The 20,312-nt window shown below is 42.5% G+C and overlaps 1 protein-coding gene across 28 annotated transcripts in view; it reads left to right on the plus strand.

The window, feature by feature from the left end:
- RBFOX1 (RNA binding fox-1 homolog 1) overlaps window positions 1-20,312 on the plus strand; it is a 2,473,620-nt gene that overhangs the window by 1,411,722 nt on the left and 1,041,586 nt on the right. For all 28 annotated transcript variants that reach the window (NM_001415887.1, NM_001415888.1, XM_017023318.3 and 25 more), the window contains one exon: window positions 3,161-3,208. In NM_001415887.1, coding sequence (NP_001402816.1) covers window positions 3,161-3,208 — 48 coding nt within the window. The remainder of the gene's footprint in view (window positions 1-3,160; window positions 3,209-20,312) is intronic.

Below are 20,312 nucleotides of genomic sequence, written 5' to 3' on the forward strand. Positions count from 1 at the left end.
GGTAGCCCCCAAATTTTTCTCCCTACTTAAATTTGTAACCCCTGACTGCCGGTTCTGTTAAAATAGAAGTCAGATCATGCCTGTCCTCTCTTCATTATGCCTGAGTGAAACCCACAAGTGCCCATGAGGATGTGGACAGATTGGAACACTTGTGCACTGTTAGTGGGGATGTAAAATGGTGCACCTGCTGTGGAAAACGGTAGGGTGGTTCCTCAAAAAATGAAACATTGAATTACCATAGGGTTTGGCAATCTCACTTCTGGGCATACGCACAAAAGACTTGAAAGCAGGGAGTTGAATAGATACGTACACACCCGTGTTCATAGCAGCATCATTCACAATAGCCGAAAGGTGGAAACAGCCCAAATATCTATCCACAGATGGCGCTTATGAATGGATAAACCAAATGTGGTCTCTCCATACAATGCAATGTTATTCATCCTTAATAAGAATGAAATTCTAACACATGCTACCACATGGATGAACCTTGAAGACATTATGCTAAGTGAAATAAGCCAGGCACAGAAGGACAAATGTTGTATGATTCCACTTAAGCAAGTGTTAAGTCCTCAATTGTATAACTGTAAAATTCATATACTGAAGTCGTAACTTCCAATGTGATTGTGTTTTGGAGATTAGTCCTTTAGGGAGGTAATTCAGGTTAAGTGATGTCATAAGGGTGGGGTCTTAATCCAATAGGATTGGTGGCCTTAAAAGAAAGATGGCCACACCTTACGGTGGCTCACACCTGTAATCCCAGCACTTTGGGAGGGCGAGGCGGGCAGATCACTAGGTCAAGAGATCGAGAGCATCCTGGCCAATATGGTGAAATCCCATCTCTACTAAAAATACAAAATTAGTTGGGGGTTGTGGTGCATGTCGGTAGTCCCAGCTACTCGGGAGGCTGAGGCAGAAGAATCACTTGAACCTGGGAGGTGGAGGTTGCAGTGAGCCAAGATCTCGCCACTGCACTCCAGTCTGGCGACAGAGCTAGACTCCATCTCAGGAAAGAAAAAAAAAAGCCATGGGTCTGTCTCCCTTTCTCTCTCTCTCAGAAAGTATAGAGCAGCAGCTATGTGAGGCACCATGAGAAGGAGGCATCTACAAGCCAGGAAGAGGGACCTCACCAGGAACCCTGAGAGAGCCTTGACCTTGAACTTCCACCTGTAGAACTCTAAGAAAATAAACTTCAGTCGTTGAAGTCACCTAGTCTGTAATATTTTTTATGGCATTCCTAGCCGACTCATACAATGAGAGGAGTCTAGAGTAGCAAAATCCACAGAGACAGAAAGCAGAAGGTGGTTTTCAGGGGCTCTGGGAGGGGAAGTGAAGAGTTATTGTTTAATGGGTACAGGTGGAAAAATGAAAAAATTCTGGAGATGGAGGGTGGTGATGGTTGCACAACAGTTTGTATGGGTAATGCCCCAGAACTGTGCACCTACCATGGTAAAATTGTTAATGATATTGTATTTTATCACAATAAGGTAATAAAACTCTGAGTGGTTTCTCACTGATCTCAAAATAAAGTAAACATCTCCCTGTGATCTCATTCCCCTTTATTTTCCTCTCTTACTTCCCTCTAACCACAGTGGCCTCCTTCCTCTTGCTTGGCTCTTTCCAGTGCATTTCCCCCTTGGGGCTTTGAACTTGCTCTTCGTTTGCCTGGGATGTTCTCTTCCCCAGTGGGCTACTTGGCTCATCCCCCTAACTTCCTTCAAGCCTTTTCTCAATTGCCACTTTTTCAAAAAAATCAACATCAACATCGTATTCCCCTACCCTCAGCATTTCCCACCCCCTTCTCCTTGGTTTATTTTTCTTCATAGTACATATTCTTTCTGGAATACCATTAAGTGATATGCATGGTTTAATGCTTGTCTTGTCCAGAAGAATGTAAGCATCACCAGGGCGGGCCTGCCATGTGTCTTCTACATTGTTGAGTCCTCCATGCCTAGTGCAAGGTCTAGCAGCCAAGAGTTGCTAAAGAAATATCTTCCATTTGAATAAGTTAATGCCACTATTGCTTGTGGGACTGTGTCTGTCATTTTGTCTAATTAATGAGTTCCCTGAGGGTAGGAATTATGTTTGTTTCACCTTTTCGTACCAGGACAACAAGAAAATAGCAGAAAATCATAGGTGTGCAATAAATATGAATGAGTGGATGAGTGGAATGGTAGATGGATGGGTGGATGGATGGATGAATGGATGGATGGATGAATGGGTGGGTGGAGGGATGAATGGAGGGTAGATGAAGGAAGGAAAGATGGATGAATAGATGAGTGGATAGAGGATGGATAGATGGATGGATGGGTGGGTAGATGAATGGGTGGATGGATGGATAGGTGGGTGGATGGATGGATGAGTAGACGGATGAATGGGAGAAGGATGCAGGATAGATGGATGATTGGATAGATGGGGATGGCTGGGTGGATAGCTGGATGGATGAATGGATAAAAAGATGAATTTGGGTGGATGGGCGAGTGTGTAGATGATTGATGGATAGAGGGTGGATGAAGGATGGATGGTTGGACGGATGGATGGATGGATGGATGGATGGATGGATGGATAGAGGAAGGGTGGGTGGGTCAATGAATGGATAGATGGGTGGATGGATAGGGGAAGGATGCAGGATGAATGGATGATTAGATCAATGGGCATGGCTGTTTGGGTGGATGGATGGATGGGTAGAGGACCAATGAATGAATGGAGAGGAGATGAATGGATGGATGGTTGGATGGTTGGAAGGATAAAAAATAGATCCTGATAATTTGTGTTGAAGTGAGACATATCTGACTATCCTAAATTTTGAATGGGAGAGATATTAAAGGCAGTCTCTGCTGATGTGAACAATTGTATGGAGGGCAGATTATTTTATGAGCTATCAGTTCCTCTTTGCTGTGACCTCTGATCCATAGCCTTTGCCTACATTCCACATCTGCATGTAATAAAACTTACTTATGAGATACATATGTCTCTAATGCAAACACCGCAGTATGTACCTTTAAAAAGCACTATAAAGAGCAATGACTCGAGAAAGAACTATTAGGAGCATGAGCTCTTTATTATTTTAAAGGGCATTTCAACAACACCACTGAATGTTCTCTGACCATAAGTCTGACTCCTGTTCTTTCTCTCACTTTCCTTTCTTTTCTTCTCTTCTCAGGATATCAAAGCAGACTGCAATACCTGCGTGGAAATAGAAGACAGAAAGGTGAGTCAATATTTTTCATTTTTAGGGTTGCAAACAAAACAAGAACTCTGTGAATTGAACCCAGGTGTTTAAGGCATGCCCCTCTCGATGATGGTTTTTAGGTGATTCACGGTCTATGACATATTTAAAGACAATCAGACTTAAAAATGCTTGTCATTTTACTCCTTTACAATCTGTGTTACTTCTGATGGCTTCATGAGGAGTGCATATTGTAATTTTTTACAAAAAATGTGGTGCTGATTTCTGTTTCAGTCATACCCTTCTTTTCAGGAAAATACTTTAACACTTGTCACATTGAACTTGAATATTGATGTTGACGTTCATTGTGTGTATCATATGTATAATTAATTATATTATTACTTACATTATAGAATATATAATATTAGGCTTCCCAGGGTGTGTCCCTATATATCTGACTCATACACTTGAAAAAGAGCTCACGGCCAGGTGTGGTGGCTCATGCCTATAATCCCAACACTTTGGGAGGCAGAGGTGGGTGGATCATCTGAGGTCAGGAGTTAGAGACCAACCTGGCCAACATGGGGAAACCCCGTATCTACTAAAAATAGAAAAATTAGCCGGGTGTGGTGGCACATGCCTGTAATCCCAGCTACTTGGGAGGCTGAGGCAGGAGAATCACTTGATCCTTGGAGGTGGAGACTGCAGTGAGCCAAAATTGCACCAGCGCACTCCAGCCTGAGTGACAAAATAAGCCTCCGTTTCAAAAAAAAAAAAAAAAAAAAAAAAAAAAAAGAGCTCGCGCTCAATTTCCATCACAACACATCAACACATTCATATGAGCAACAGCGTCCTATCTGAGATTAAGGGGGTAGGGGGCAATGCCATTTTCTACATATTTAGAGTCCCCTCACCCATTTATCTTCTTTGCTACACTTAATGTGAATCCCCTCAGGAAAAGCAACCGTTAGACAATTGTTTGTTAATATTTTCACAGTCTCTTTTTATTGACAAGAGTTCACAGACATTTCTGCAGCAAAGCACATCCAAGAAGATCAGATTTTACCCTGTGTATGCCTTGGATCCAAAGAGGTCAAATAAGCAAGTTAAGAGTACATACCTCCTGGCTACTTTTGACATCGTTCCACAAGTTTGAAAGATGTTTCTCCTTTCAAGTGTACCATTATTGTCAAATGGGTTATTATTTCAAGCAGAGGTTTTCAGCTCTGATTGTATCATGACTGGGGCATGTCTGCTGATTAATAAGGTGGTGGAGGACTTCTCAAAACAAAAATTTGCTTTTAAATAAAAAGCAGTTGCCACACATTATTTTAGGGAGTGTTAATCTCCTCACATTGGGAAGAATAATGATACAGTAAGTTCAATTCAATCTGCGTGATCCCAGCTTGCAGTTTTGTGTTGCTCTAGTTTGCTGGCAAAGGAATTTCAATTCATGTTTGCATTCACCATGTGTTTGCATGCTGGTATATGCATGTGTGCATTTAGTGAGTTGGACAGATGGAATTGCTGCTTAGGTGAAGCGTGTGTCCAAAGTCTTCTACCAATGTTCTGCCCAGCCGAATCATTCCGCTCATGTCAGAGTGTTTAGAAAGCATGTTCCCCAACCTGCTTCCAAAGGTCATTGGCATTTCTCTTGGACTTTTATGGAATTCATCAACATGTTTTGTCCGGTATCTTTTTTAAAAATTTAATTGCCAATAGTGCTTGAAAGATAACATAGGAACTGATGCTGTTAGAACAACCTGAGCTCCATCACGCACAAGGTAAATAAGCAGGCAGGGTAAGCTCTGGGCAAGGAGAGTCACCCAAGCTCCACTCCACCTATGTGAACTGCCTTTGGTTAAGACATCATGATGATGGCAACTGCCCTGGTTTCTGGCTACTCTGTGATGCATCTTGGTGGGAAAAAGTCATTAATGGTCATACTGTGCATATGTGATTTCAGCTCTTCTCAAGAAAGGGGAAAATAGACACACACACACACACACACACACACACACACTTCTAGTTTTTTCATAAATTGTTGGATTGAGTCAATAATGTCAAATGAAGCCTTGTTTCTGATGAGTTTTCCCATTTTTTTCTAAACTTGACCTCATATGACTGATAGATAAATTTCTAAACAATTTGTTGCAGTTAATTGGTGATGCATCTTAGTGATAAGAAAAAATAATGCCCAGTTAAAATTCTCAGTGTCTTACTCTCTAAGGACTTTTTTTAAAAAAGAGTCTTTTAAACAAGGTAACTCCTCTCCTCTCCTCTCCTCCCCTCAACTCTCCTCTCCTCCCCTCTCCTCTCCTCCCCTCTCCTCCCCTTTCCTCTCCTCCCCTTTCCTCTCCTCTCCTCCCCTTTCCTCTCCTCTCCTCCCCTTTCCTCTCCTCTCCTCCCCTTTCCTCTCCTGTCCTCCCCTTTCCTCTCCTCTCCTCCCCTTTCCTCTCCTCTCCTCCCCTTTCCTCTCCTCCCCTTTACTCTCCTCTCCTCCCCTCTCCTCTCCTCTCCTCTCCTCTTCTCTCCTCTTCTCTCCTCTTTTCCTCCTTCCCTTTTTCTCTCCTCCTTTCCTTCCCACTTTCTCGTCTTCCTTCCTCCCTCCTTCCTTCCTTCTTTTTCCTTCCTTCAAATTCCCAGTAATACAGTGAATCTTATACTCACGCTATAGTTTCTCTGTTTCTAACAATTGTTAAGAAGAGATTGGGAGTGAGGTTTTAGGAGCTTGCTTTATATATGGGAGACATTTCTCTTAATTGAACAGTCAAGAAGCAAACGCTAATGATCCCTGAGGGACGGCGTGCCCCTCACCCCAGCAGAACAGCTCCATCCCCCTCCCTCTCTGCTTGGTGATATGGTGTGAGGCCACACAGGGAGCCATTGGCTGTGGCAGCCAGAGTGATTGCCGTCAGGTTCTGGGAGTGCACTCTGGTGCCTCTGCCACACTGATGGGTTGTTTAGGAAATTTCACCACTGGAGTGATGACAGTTGCTCACGCACGTGTGTGTGTGCATGTCCCTCTCCATTTAACCCAAATGCTTCTGGCAAAATCAGTAATTTGATAAAGTGGAATTGAAGTGACAAGAGATGGCAGAGGTGCCAAAATAATAAGTAAACCTGTCTCTGAAGCGGCAGCCTCTTGGCCTATGTGGATTTTTACGACTGTTGAGAGCTCTGAAAGAGAACTGGTGGTGCTTTCTTTAAAGCTCTTTTTATTTTATTTTATTTTATTTTACTTTAGTTAAGGGAGCTTCACAGAACCCCTATAGGATGTGATGGCTTCTCAAGAATCACTTTATTTTTTATTATTTTTTATTTTTCTTTCACCTCCCCTGGCTTTCTGTCTACTTCGTTTCCAGATATTCCACATATATGGATATATTTGTGTACCTCGATTTATAGCTATGTATATTGTTGAATATCTTCTTGATAGAAGAATTTTAGAAAAGACAAAACCTTAGGTTTTCCATGGAGTCCTACGGGGCCTCTCCAAATTGTGCCTCATTCCCATTCTCTTCCTTTCAATGGGGCCGATTATCTTGAGATGAATGATTTTCCCACTGAATCTTAGACCACATATCATGATAGAAGATAAACTGTGAATTTCAACAGTGGAAGAGAGCCTTCATTTTTTTTTTTTTTTAACAGTCTCCCTCTGTCTCAAATCTGGATTGCAGTGGTGTGATCGTGATCTCAGCTCATTGCAACCTCCGCCTCCCGGGTTCAAGCGATTCTCCTGCCTCAGCCTCCTGCCTGGCTAATTTTTGTATTCTTAGTAGAGGTGGGGTTTTACCATGTTGGCCAGGATGATCTTGAACTCCTGACCTCGTGATCCGCCTGCTTCAGCCTCCCAAAGTGCTGGGATTACAGGCATGAGCCACCACACCCGGCCGAGAGCCCTCATCTTGTTGTAGAGCAATAAAATCATTCTTCTTTATCTGCGCACAGTCTGGGCTCGATCTGAGACTCTTCATAGAATAAAAGAATTTTTATCCTCTCCTGTTTTTCTATTTTTCTTTATCCCAGAAGCCTATTTTCTCTCAGGCTGACAGGAAACTAATTGCCATTTGGAAAACCTTGCCTGGCTGTTTATGGGGAAATTCATAATGTGTATTGGAGTGTGGCTTTATGTTTTTCTTTCGCTTCCAAGCCCGCCAATTAGCAGAGCCCCTATGAATGTACCTGCTTGGATGGTTCCTGGCCATTGCTTAAACTCTCTCAGAGGGTGTCCTAGGGAGATCCTAAGGGATGGTGGAGTTTTTCACCCTTTAATAGGAAGCAGGAGCACAGGTTTTTTGTTTTTTTGTTTTTTGGTTTTTTTGTTTTTTTTGTTTTTTTTTTTCCTCCTGCAGGTGAACGTTGTGGAGCTAATGCAGATTTAGCAAAGGTGACGGGAGGTAACCCATCACTTGGAGTGGCTGTATGGCCTCACAAAACCCGATGCGTTTGACATTTACAGTACCTGTGTTTCTGCTGGGGCACTGAAGCATTTAAATTCATTTTTATTTGTGGTGTAAAATCCACCTGAATTTCAATACTATTATAAAGACTGAGATTCAGGTGATGAGAGGAGAGGCTGATGGATCAGTCAGGGGGAGAATCTGTCAAGAGGAGACGAGAGCCCATTTTATAAACACAGACAGGGCTTCCTCTTCTCACTTATCGCCTGGCCTGGTGCAGCTAAACAGTTTCAGATCTGCTATAAAATTGCATGAAAGGAGTTTGAGTGGTTTTCCAAGTTATGGCGACTTTCAGATTGGGTCCAATTGAAGGTGCGATTGGGAGATAGCTTTCGTGCTGTGGTTAACACTGAGAGTTCTGAACTCATCTTTTTACAATACTTCTTCCAGATCAGGTATCTTAAGTACCGCCGAATACTTAAAACAGTTGTGGTGTGGAAGTACCATCATTTTCCCTGTTTTACAGGTAAAATAAAGGAAGCTCAGGCACATTTAAGTGACTTGCCTGAGATCACTCAAGCATGAGACCAGGATTTAAGCTCAGAGATTCTTACTCCAGAGTCTGTCCTCTTAGTTTCAATACTACCCTGCTTGCGGTTTTCAATATGGGGCAGGCTTTCAGCTCCCACATTGCAGCTCTAGCTGGTTCACAGTGAGGATTCTTCACAGTGTTTACAAGCCTGCCCTTCCGGGAAGTAGTTGGCACCCAACAGTGGGGTGGTCAGATGTCTTCTGGCTTTGAGGGTGAGGGACAGTAGCACTGGAACTGGAGTGCTGACCTCAGTTTCCAAAGACCTGATTCGGTTCCTAGGTTTGGCAATTTCAGCAGAGTAGATACACGGGTTAGAAATTATTGCTTAAAGAGTATTAGGGAGGCTGGGCACTGTGGCTCATGCCTGTAATCCCAGCACTTTTGGAGGGTGAGGCGGCCTCCAAGATCAGGAGTTCGAGACCACCATGGCCAACATAGTGAAACATCATCTCTACCACAAATACAAAAATTTCCTGGGTGTGGTGGCACACGCCTGTAGTCACAGCTACTTGGGAAGCTGAGGTGGAGAATTGCTTGAACCTGGGAGGCAGAGGTTGCAGTGAGCTGAGATCTCGCCATTGCCCTTCAGCCTGGGCAATAAGAGTGAGACTTCATCTTAAAAAAAAAAAAAAAAAGCAAGAAATTCTTGCTTAAAGAGTATTACGGAAAATAGCTAATGCATGCTGGGCTTAATACCTTGGTGATGGATTGATAGGTGCAGCCAACCACTATGACACACGATTACTTATATAACAAACCTGCACATCCCGCACATGTACCCCAGAACTAAAAATAAACATAAAAAAGTAATTCTTGCATAGGTAATGGTTAGTAGCTCAGACAAATTAAGTCACTTGCCCAGGATTATTCAGGACGTATCATGAGGCCACGATTTGAGCTCAGAGATTCTTACTCCAGAGTCTGTACATAGCCTTTGGAGCTTGAAATGTCTGGGTTTCAATCCCAGCCCTCCCAAATAGCAACTCTGTGACCTTGAGAAGCTTTCTTACCCTGTATATATCTTCATCTGCTTATCTTTAAATTGGGAGTGATACAATCTGCTTGAAATATTGGCTTGAGAAATTCATAATACTGCAAATCATTTTATATAATACCTGGCACAAAATAAGAACTGGATTAACTGTAGCTGCGGTTATTTTTATTTTTGCTGGTATCCACACCTACAGGCCTACCATGTCATTTATAATTACATTTATTTTATCAAATGAGGCCCTGGAAAGTGTTAGGGGATCTCAGGGGAGTATGCAACCAATGGGACCTAGTAGGCCTTGGAAATATTTCACAAAGGAAGAGGATCCTTGGTGTAGGTCAGGAAATACAAATGCACCTGCCTGCCAAGTCCAGGTAGGAAATAATGAATTAATGAAGAGGCAGAGGAGTGATTGTCTTTAACGTGAAGTCCTATGTACTGCAGCGACCTGGAAGGTGATACCTTCATATCTTGGGAGCTGTTATTCAGCTAAATGTGGCCATGTGGAATATAGATTCAGTATTGCTGTTTTCTAAGCCAATCTGAATTTTCCTGTAATACCACTGATTTTTTACTTACTATGAGCAATCCAAATGAAGCACACATGCAGAAAAGTTTCAAGAGACTTACAAGACTTGAGTGTTGAAAGCTAACTCTCAGTGGGTTAGAAAGAGCTCCCATGTGCCTAATTCCAGGCTCTGTCGGTCTATGAAAGGCCCTCCTGGCAGAGGGAACAGAATGGCGAGGACAAGACGGTGTAGAGAACATGGTATGTTTATGGCGAATGCAAGTCCAGTGTGTGTGTCTGAGATTGGCTAAAGGAGAGACTACAGCAGTGAGTAGGTAGCAGGTTATGGAGGGAATAGTTTATCAGGCCAATGCATTAGGGTTCTGTGTCAATCCTCTGTCCCCACAGAAGGCAAATCTTTACTGTATGGGGCCAGAGTTACACAGCACCAAGAAGGTACTTAAACTAGTATGAAGAACCCAGCCAAAGTGAAAGTCAGCAGGGGAATAAGAACTGGGGTTGGAGCCCAGAGAAAGACCCAGAGACTGGCCCTGGGTGAATGCAGGAAGCTGAACACTTTGATTCGAGCAAGACGAAGTCAGCCAGGACCCTGAGAAATCACAGGGCTGGGTTGCCCCTTCCTTGTGATGTGTGACAGAATGAACATGGGAATGCAACTGTCTCTTTGAAATGTTGATTTAGCGGCGGGATGCCTGGATTATTTGGTAGTTCAACTTCTAATTTTTTGAAGGACCTCTATACTGTTGTGCATAATGGCTATAAGGATATATGAGAATATCCATTTTAACATCATGGGAGTTCTACAATGGAATATTATTTAGCCATTGAAACGAAGGGAAATCCTGCCATGTGCAACAAGATAGATGAACCTAGAGGACATTAGGTGAAGTGAAGTAAGCCACACACAGAAAGGCAAATACTACATGAGCTCACTTTTACCTGGAATCTAAGAAAGTGAAACTCAAAGAAGCAGAGAGTAGGATGGTGGTTGCCGAGGGCTGGGGGCGGGGTGAAAAAAAAGGGAGGATCTTGGTCAAAGGATACAAACCCTCATCATCAGATTAAGTTATAGATAACTAATGTACAGCACAGTGATGAGAGTTTAATTAATGTGTTTTAGACTTGAAATGCGGTAAGAGAGTAGATCTCAACTGTTCTCACACACACACAAGTCTGTGAGATGATGGATATGTTAATTAGCTTGGTAGTAGTAATCATTTCATGATATACACATGTATCAAAAGGTCACATTGTATCTGTTAAATATATGCAATTTTTGTTTTTCAGTTTTATCTCAATACAGTTAGGGAGAAAAAGAGAGATGTGGAATAGAAGAGGAACACATTTTCCTGCAGGCCGGTATTGTACAAGTGTTGAAACACTTAGATTAGATTTCAGGTGGCAAATGAGGTACCTTCAGGCAGTTCATGGATATGGTATCAAATCACGTAGTAGGGAAGTTATTTCCTTGTCAACTATTTCTCAGACCTTGAGACTACATCAAAGACATAATTTGGTGGTTGGTTAAAAAAAAAAGAAAAAAAACCTAAAAGACTCAAACATTTGATCATCTACCTTTTTGACCAAGAGACCCAGAGCCCCTGACAGGCAATTCTGGCATCTGGCTATAACCGAATGACAGTGTTTTACTTTTGCATTAGAGTTACTTTCTACATATGACAAAAAAAATACTGTTCTTTCTGCTCTTTCTGTTTACTTCAACGAGCTATTTCTTTTCTTTAAAACAAATACTCCCATAGACTCGTAAAACATTTATTGAGAACAGAAACAATTTAAAGAAAAGCACATGGATGTGTAAAAATTGTGAGTATGGATCGCACATAACTGAAGTGTAGGAAACACTGTTTTCTACTGGTGGGTTTGCATTCAGGGGAGAGTTTCTTGTTTGCATTTTGTAAGTTTCAAACTCTCCTTGTGTGCAGGAGGGAACCAGAAGTGGGCAGGGATGGATACAGGAGTACAGGGTGGAAGGCAGACTGGAGGATGGGTCTGAACTAGAGCCATGTAGGAGATGGGGAGGAGGAAGGTTTGCATTTTCAAGAGACTGGATAAGTCCTATCCACATGACTTACTGACAATGGATGGGTGTCATGAATGTCTCCACCCAGGAACTTGTCACAGACGGCTCAGCTTAAGTATTTGTATATAGTTTGCTGCCGTGAGGAAGAAGAAAGGAGTTGATCAACACTGACAATGGATTGATCTCCTGGTTTAGGGCTTATATGCCAGTGAGGTTGCATATGAGCATGACATAGCCAGCAGGATTTGTTTCTATTAGTGCCAGTCTCTTGCCCCTGGGAGTAGGAGTGGACTAGATCTGTGCACTTCTGATAGCAGAACAAAGACATGGGAGAAGGTTCACTCCTTCCTGGAAGGGCCTCTTTCTAGAATGGGGAGTATTCATGAAGGAGTTTCCCTTCAAAGACCAAAGCGAAGATACTTAAGGCACATAAGGGCAGAGGCTGCTGTGAGCGCCCATCTGGATGAGACTCACAGAGTCCCCTGGGGATTGGATTTCTTTTCTGTTTCCAATGTCCTTTGTTTAAGGCCGTTAGGCATATACATTAAAATGGAAGAAGCTCCAAAATTCCTGGAATCTTTGGAAATGAAAATTAGAGCATCCCTGAGAAAGGGTATTTAAGTTTGAGTCTGAAGGGAGATGGGGTGGAGAGCATCCTGGGCCAGGTGCAGAGGAGGGAGTCTGGAGGTTGAGCATGGCATGACTAAGGAACTGAATACACGTCAGTGTAGCTGGGGCTCAGGCAGCAGTGGGAAAAGTGGCTAGAGATAAAGCTCAAAGCAGGCAAAGGCTAATCCACCTGAAACCTTTTGACCAGGAAGAGTATTATGTCCTTTAATATAGAATGAAATCTGTGTCACATGGACTGTGATATCACCATGAGAAATGGTCAGGTGTGTAAAGACAGTTTCTTTGTCTTATAGAGTCTACTTGCTCATAGATCATGTTTATGTATGACCTTTCAGACTTCTGTCAGTTCCCTTCTGGTCCAGCCATCTCTAGCCAAGGAATGGGACAAAGAGATCTAACACCAGCAAAGCTTTTTGCTGTGTCGCTTGGCTTTTCTGTTCATTCTGCATTTTACATCCTATGCAAATTCCCTAAAACTGTCAATCATCTTCAGATTAGTAACCCTCATTCCTCTTGGGCATGGCTCTCATTCCAAACTAATGCATAGCCACTAGCCAGCCTGTTGTTTAGGGCAACACCTCACCCCTGGTCCTACTATCTCTGGTCAAAGAAATGTGCGCGGTCATCTAGCGTCAGCAAATCATCTTGTATCTACAGATCTGCCTCAGCTCCTTTGCTCAGTAAGAACTTGTGGATGGGATCTTGGTAGGATGTGATACATATACCACAAGTAGATCTCATTGTGTCCTTTTTCTCTGCTGAGAAGCAGGGCTGTGCGAGAGACAGCTGCGCATGTAGCCCACCACCAGTGAGATTCGACATCATTTTTACTGAGACTGGGGACCAGGCAATAGCAGAGATTATGAATCCAGTGTCTGAAATTGCGTGTTCAGAACCCACAGATAGGCAGGGATGGAAGTCAGTTCTGGAGATACTCAGTTGGTGGAGATGGGTTGCTGCCAAGAAATCCTCAGCAGTTTTGTTCACTCCTCCTAATTTATTTCAAAAGGCAAGGTAGTACAGTTTTGCAGTCAAACGGATCTGGAGTTGAATCCCGGTTCTGCCCCTTCACCAGCTGGCAGACCTTGGAAAAGTCACATTCCTGTCTGTCCACAGCTGCATCGTCTATAAAACAGGGACAGACATCGTTTGTAAATCATGCATCCCATGCACTGTTCTTGTGTGCCGCATTAGTCAGGGCATTTTCAATTGTCATAGAAAATGAAGTCAGACTAGCTTAAGGAGAAAAATAAGTGACAGTTATGAGTAAAGTGGGACTGTCTTCAGCATAGCTGGATGCTGGTACTTTAATTTCACCAGATGCTAAGGACGGCAACCACCAGCTGTATTAACTCCCACCTGTGGAGAAAAGGCGCTTCTTTTTCAGTGGCTTAGTAAAGTTCCTGGATGTGGCTTAAGAGGTGTCACTTAGCTATAAAGGGCGATGTCCCTCTTGTTTGTCTTCCCTCAGCCACCCCAGCAGTGGGATGGGGTCCAGCTAAATGACTTAAATGGACTAAAAAATGAGGGAGGGGGCTGGGCACGGTGGCTCACGCCTATAATGCCAGCCCTTTGGGAGGCCCAGGTGGGTGGATTACCTGAGGTCAAGAGTTGGAGACCAGCCAGGACAACATGGTGAAACCCCATCGCTGCTAAAAATAAAAAATATAAAAAAATATTAGCCAGGCATAGTGACAGGCACCTGTAATCGCAGCTACTTGGGAGGCTGAGGTAGGAGAATCACTTAAACCTGGGAGGCGGTGATTGCAGTGAGCTGAGATTGTGCCATCACATTCCAGTCTGGGTAACAAGAGTGAAACTCCATCTCCAAAAAAAAAAAAAGAAGAAGGAGGGAGTGTCACCTAATGAAACCTTGACTGATATTTTTTTTCCAGAAAGGAAAATAAATAATAATAATAATAGCAACTACCTTGCATTGAGGATTTACTACATGCCATAGACCATTTTTTAGTACTTTATGCATATTCTATTATTGAATCCTTAGAAAGATCCTTTAAGACAGATACAATATTTATCCCCATGTTACAGATGAGAAAAATGAGGGAAAGAGGTGATATGGTTTGACCACGTCCCCACCCAAATCTCATCTTGAATTGGAGCTCCCATAATTCCCACATGTTGTGAGAGGGACCTGGTAGGAGGTAATTGAATCATGGGTATGGTTTCCCCCACCCTGTTCTCATGGTAGTGAATAAGTCTCCCGAGATCTGATGGTTTTATAAGAGGAAACCCCTTTCGCTTGTTTTTCATTCTTTCTCTGCCACCATATAAAACGTGCCTTTTGCCTCCCATCATGGTTATGAGACCTGCCAGCCACATGGAACTGTGAGTCTATTAAACCTTTCTTTCTTTATAAATTATCCAGTCTCAGGTACATCTGTATCAGCAGCGTGAAAACAGACTAATACAGGAGGAGTTGAAGAATGTGACTGAGGCCGGGCACAGTGGCTCATGCCTATAATCCCAGCACTTTGGGAGGCTTAGGCGGGCGGATCACCTGAGGTCAGGAGTTTGAAACCAGCCTGGCCAACATGATGAAACCCTTGTCTCTACCACAAGTACAAAATGTATCCAGGTGTGGTGGTGGGCACCTATAATCCTAGCCATGCTATTCGGGAAGCTGAGTTAGGAGAATCACTTGAACCTGGAAGGCAGAGGTTACAGTCAGCTGAGATCACACCACTGCACTCCAGCCTGGGTGACAGAGTAAGACTCTGTCTCCAAAAAAAAAAAAAAAAAACAAATCATGTCACTGAGGTCACCCAGGTGGTAACTGTGGAGGTGGGATTCAAACCCAGGAAGTCTTTGTTTGACTCTTAACCTCTAGGCTGTACTGCCTCTTCCAAGCATGCTTCACAGGAAGAAGAAAATACGTCCCTTCTGTGCTCCTCATGCTCAGGGCCTGACACACAGGTAAACGGTGACTTACGAGAGTTATTGCAACAAAACCCTCCACATAACAGGAAAAACCTTGGCCACTGCTAAATGTCATCCTGTGATATATCTCTGCATTGAATTTCCTCCCAATTACTCAGCCTAAGGTATTATCTCGGGGTCCTCAATGAGTCTGCTCCACAGAACCATCAAAATGCTCACGGTTCCAAGCAGTGCCTCACTTGCCAGCACAGCTGACAGTTATTTTTGTAGGCAAGGGCTTCTGACTCTAGGATGGGTCTCTGCACCTGCCTTTTATATTTGATTCACAGGTTAACTCTTTTACTAAACGTTGAAAATGAGATGTTAGTCGTACTTTCCTCTTTCATTTATTTTTGGGAAATTTGAGGGTGGTGGTGGGTTGGGGGAGAGGGAGGCAGGTAAAAAGACGCAGAGCTTCTAAAATGAATGTGGTGTTGAGTTAAATTAGCCTCTGATGGGCCGGAAACCTAAACGACAGATGATGAGAAGCTGCTGGGCACCCTCAGCAGTGCCATGGACACAGTGGTAACCCAGAGAGTGTAATGAAAAGCACTGAGGTAGATCGGGCTATTGGTCTCATACACCTTCAGTCACCCTTGAAGCTGGCTTTGGGAAGCTCATCTAAAGAATGCCAGGTGTAATCGTGTGGCTAAGAGCTTCAGCTTAGGATTCTAAAAGGCCTGGCTTTGAACCCCAGCTTAGTGGCTTCCTGGTTATTTAACCTCTCAGATGCTCAAGCTCTTATATAAAAGGGAGAGGAGGAGAGAATATTTTCTGGGGTCACTATGGGACTCAATGAGCTCTTACACTGAGGGTACTTATCATCTTGGCTAGGCACAGGATGCACCTTGAATAACTGCAAGCTGGCTGGGCACGGTGGCTCATGCCTGGAATCCTAGCGCTTTTTGGACACAAGTGGGAGGATTACTTGAGCTCGGGAGTTTGAGATGAGCCTAGGCAACATATACCCTATTTCTGCAAAACTGAAGAAAAAAATATAGCCACATAGTTAGGCATGATGGTGCGTGCCTGTAGTCCCAGCTACTCAAATGGCTTAAGGAGAAGGATCTCTGGAGCCCAGGAGTTCGAGGCTGCAGTGACCTATAGTCGTACCACCACACTCCAGCCTGGGTGACAGAGCAAGACCCTATCTTTAAAAAACTAAAGAAAAAAAAAATAAGTACAAGCTGCCTGATTATTACACTTAAATCTGCTTTCGTCCTACTCTTTTTTAAATCTTTGACTCTGTTTCTTAGATTCCTAGTGAGATCAGAGAGTATACATCTAGGACAAGTTAAGATAATAGCAAAGTAAATTACAAAGCTTAAACTGGATACCAAACCCTCAATTACCTGTCTAGAGTTTTGTGTATCCTGTAGCTACTTCTCAATCTGACTGAAAGAGTATAGAGTTGAGAGCATAAGTAAAGGTGCAGACCAGGGATTGGAAACAGATTGAATCTCTGGTGTCAAGTCATATTGATTGTGGCGGCACAGAACACCTTGTTGATGAGGAGTCTGAGATTGTGGCATGTGGGTTCTCCCAGAAAGAGTGCATGATTGATTAGTGATGCCTGCCAAGGGTGGAGGAGTGAGAGCCACAGGGCACCTGCCAGGTATAGTTTAGTTGTTTCTGTCACAGAATCTGGCATCTGAGGAGTAATACAAAGCCACGTGTTGTGTGTTTCAGCCCAAAGATGCTTCTGTTCTTAGGGGCATGCCTGTTTTCCTTATGTTTTGGATTTGCAGCTTAACAAGGCACTGGTATTTTCATGGATAGTGCATGGCTTAAAGATAATTTAGCAAATAAGAGCTTTATATCAGGCATGGGTAGCTAGCCTTTCCTAGGTGCTCGAGAAGCCTTCTCTGTTGATTACATTATGGTAGCAATTCACATGATGTCATCCTCATATAACTAGGGTTATGTTTTGATGCCTTAATTTTAAAAGTGTGATTTGTCTATGATGATATTTGTCATCTCTTTGAAATTTTGTATTAATTGGGGCTGAAATGCTTACATTTTAATATCATTATTTATAGCTATTATTTTCATGTGCCACTTATTTTACTTAAAAGAAGCAAGTCTATTTTGTGTAATTTTTAGCAAACTTCTTTCTTTAAACTCTGAATTAAAATGCATTTAGGAAATGCTTAATCAAGCACAGAGCTATTTTTCAAAGATTGTTCTGTCATCTCTTCTAAAAAGATGGCAGTGGCTTTTTTGTGATGAGTGGAGTGAACGTTAATTAATTTTTCTTTCTCTTCAGTTGGTGGGTTTTATTATCCCACTTCTTGATGTGTGATTGGGTGACTTCACACTTTAGATAGAAAGCATGCCCTATCCAAATGTGATTTATGTTTTCCCAGCACTTTTGCATGGTTCAGCTGAAATTTTCTTCGTGTTGATCAAGGTCAGAAAACCCAGGGATTATGCCATCCATCTCAGCAAGTAGGTTGCTGGAAAAATTTGTGATGGAACGTGATGCAATAACAACAGAATTCAAGGGTGGGGTGGGAAACCATGCCCGTGTGTGTGCGTTTGTCTATCACATGAACACACTCACCCAATTCACTTCTTATATTGTGCTTCTTTTTATCAAGTTACAAGGCTTTTTGGGCAATTCTGGGTTAGGATTTATTTTTGCATAAAGCCATAAAAACTGTGTGATCTTTTTACTGTGGCCATCTTAAACTAACAGCTATCAGAATTTGCAGATCAACCAGAGGTTTTTCATATTTTCTTTGTTTTTTTCCAGAGTGATTGCAGTATGATTGACAAGTAAAAATTATATGTTTAAGATATACAGCTTGACGTTTTGATTTTCATATACATTATGAAAAAGTCGTTAGAATCAAGTGAATTAACACATCTATCACCTCATATATTGCTATTTTTTCTTTTGTTTCTTTTCTTTTGCGTGTGTGTTTGAGTGTGGTGAGAACACTTAAGATCTACCCTCTTAGCAAATTTTGTATTTCCTTTTCAACTGAAAGGTTTTCTGGGTGCTTTGGAGGACAGAACCTTCAGAATAGAAAAGGTCCTAAGCTTAAGGACTTCTAGCTTTTGGTTAAGGGAGCACAGTAGAAAAGCAAATGCTCACCATGAGCCAGGCAGGCAGATCTGATGGAGCCAGGGAGGTAGACGGCACTTATCATCCTAAGTAACCGACCCATGGTATATGGAGAATCCAGTCAAAGGAGTAACTTACAAACTTCAAGTCCACCTGTCAAAATAGCACCCTAACTTACAGTAAGGAAAATCTATCTCTGTCTGTCTATCTATCTATCTGTCTATCTCTATATATTGAGACAGGGCCTTGCTCTAGTGTCCACGTTGGAGTGCAGTGGTATGATCATGGCTCACTGCAACCTCACCCTCCTGGGCACAAGTAGTTATATAGTACCAAGTGGGCATGTTGTACTTACTCAGTGTGATCCTCCTACATCAGCTTCCCAAGTAGCTGGAACCACAGGAGTGCACCGTTATGCCTGGCTATGTTTTTTTTTTTAATTTTTGTAGAGACGGGGTTTTCCCTATGTTGTCCAGGCTGGCTTCCAAGTCCGGAGCTCAAGCAGTCCTTCCATCTTGGTCTCCCAAAATGCTGGGATTACAGGGGTGAGCCACTGCTCCCAGACAAACATATGTATTTTTAATTTGATCTATTCAGATTGAGTTTTCATGTTGATTGAATTCACCAATTCATAAGTTGACAAATCTTAATTTTGCCCCATGACTGGAATGTTTTCATAAAGAAATCATAAAATTAGAAGAGCTAAGGATATAACAGAAAACATACCCCCAAAGAAAGCATAAGTAGACTTAAACACCCGGTAATACCTTTCCTTGATAGTGGTATGAAAATGCAAATTAAAACCATATAATATACCAATCTCTATCTACTAAAATTAGCCAGGTTAACATGAAATAAGAATACTACCTTTTCCCATATTGGTGATGTTGCTATAAAACTGGTTTCCTTATGGCCGGGCACGGTGGTTCACGCCTGTAATCCCAGCACTCTGGGAGGCCGAGCTGGGTGGATCACAAGGTCAGGAGATCGAGACCATCCTAGCTAACACGGTGAAACCCTGTCTCTACTAAAAATGCAAAAAAAAATTAGCCGGGCATGGTGGCGGGAGCCTGTAGTCCCAGCTACTTGGGAGGCTGAGGCAGGAGAGAGGCGTGAACCCAGGAGGCGGAGCTTGCAGCGAGCCGAGATCGTGCCACTGCACTCCAGCCTGGGTGACAGAGCGAGACTCCATCTCAAAAAAACAAAAAACTGGTTTCCTTATTTACTTGGTATGTTGCAATTTGGTAGAAATCATTTAAAAACCAGAGTACTCATACGTATGAACAACCAGATAATTATTTCTTTTGACCCAATCTTACTCATTATTTCTTATTATTCCAGTCGAATGGAAACAAAAGGACACCTGGACTGAGCCACCATTGTTATTTTACTTGCAATGTCAAAATATTGGCAACAACCTAAATGCTTAATCTTAAGGTAATGGCTTCTTATGCTCAGCACAGAACATGATAGAGTATTATGCGGCTATTAAAAATGATGAATACACTTGTGTCAGAGGTCCATGGAATAGTAATTGATATAATGTTTAATAAAAACACATCTTATAAGATATTTTGACCATGTCTAAAATTTGCATGGAAAAGAGAAATATTCATGTTCATATTCAAACATCATTTTATTAATTTGATATTTGAACATTAGAAAGTAAGACATAATAGAAGAATAGGGAAGTCTGTTGGGATGCATCTAGGAAGGAATTTAGGACTGAGTTTGGGCAAGTTCCTTAGTCTTTCTGCATCTCAGATTCCTCTTCTGAACCCAATTTGTAGTTTTCTATCCCTCACCTGCTCCCCACCCTTTCCGCCTGAGTCCCCAAAGTCCGTTCTATCATTCTTACGCCTTTGCATCCTCATAGCTTAGCTCCCACTTAGGAGTGAGGACATACGATGTTTGGTTTTCCATTTCTGAGTTACTTCAATTAGAATAACA

Source organism: Homo sapiens, chromosome 16 (genome assembly GCF_000001405.40).
Source record: "Homo sapiens chromosome 16, GRCh38.p14 Primary Assembly".
NCBI lineage: Eukaryota > Metazoa > Chordata > Mammalia > Primates > Hominidae > Homo > Homo sapiens.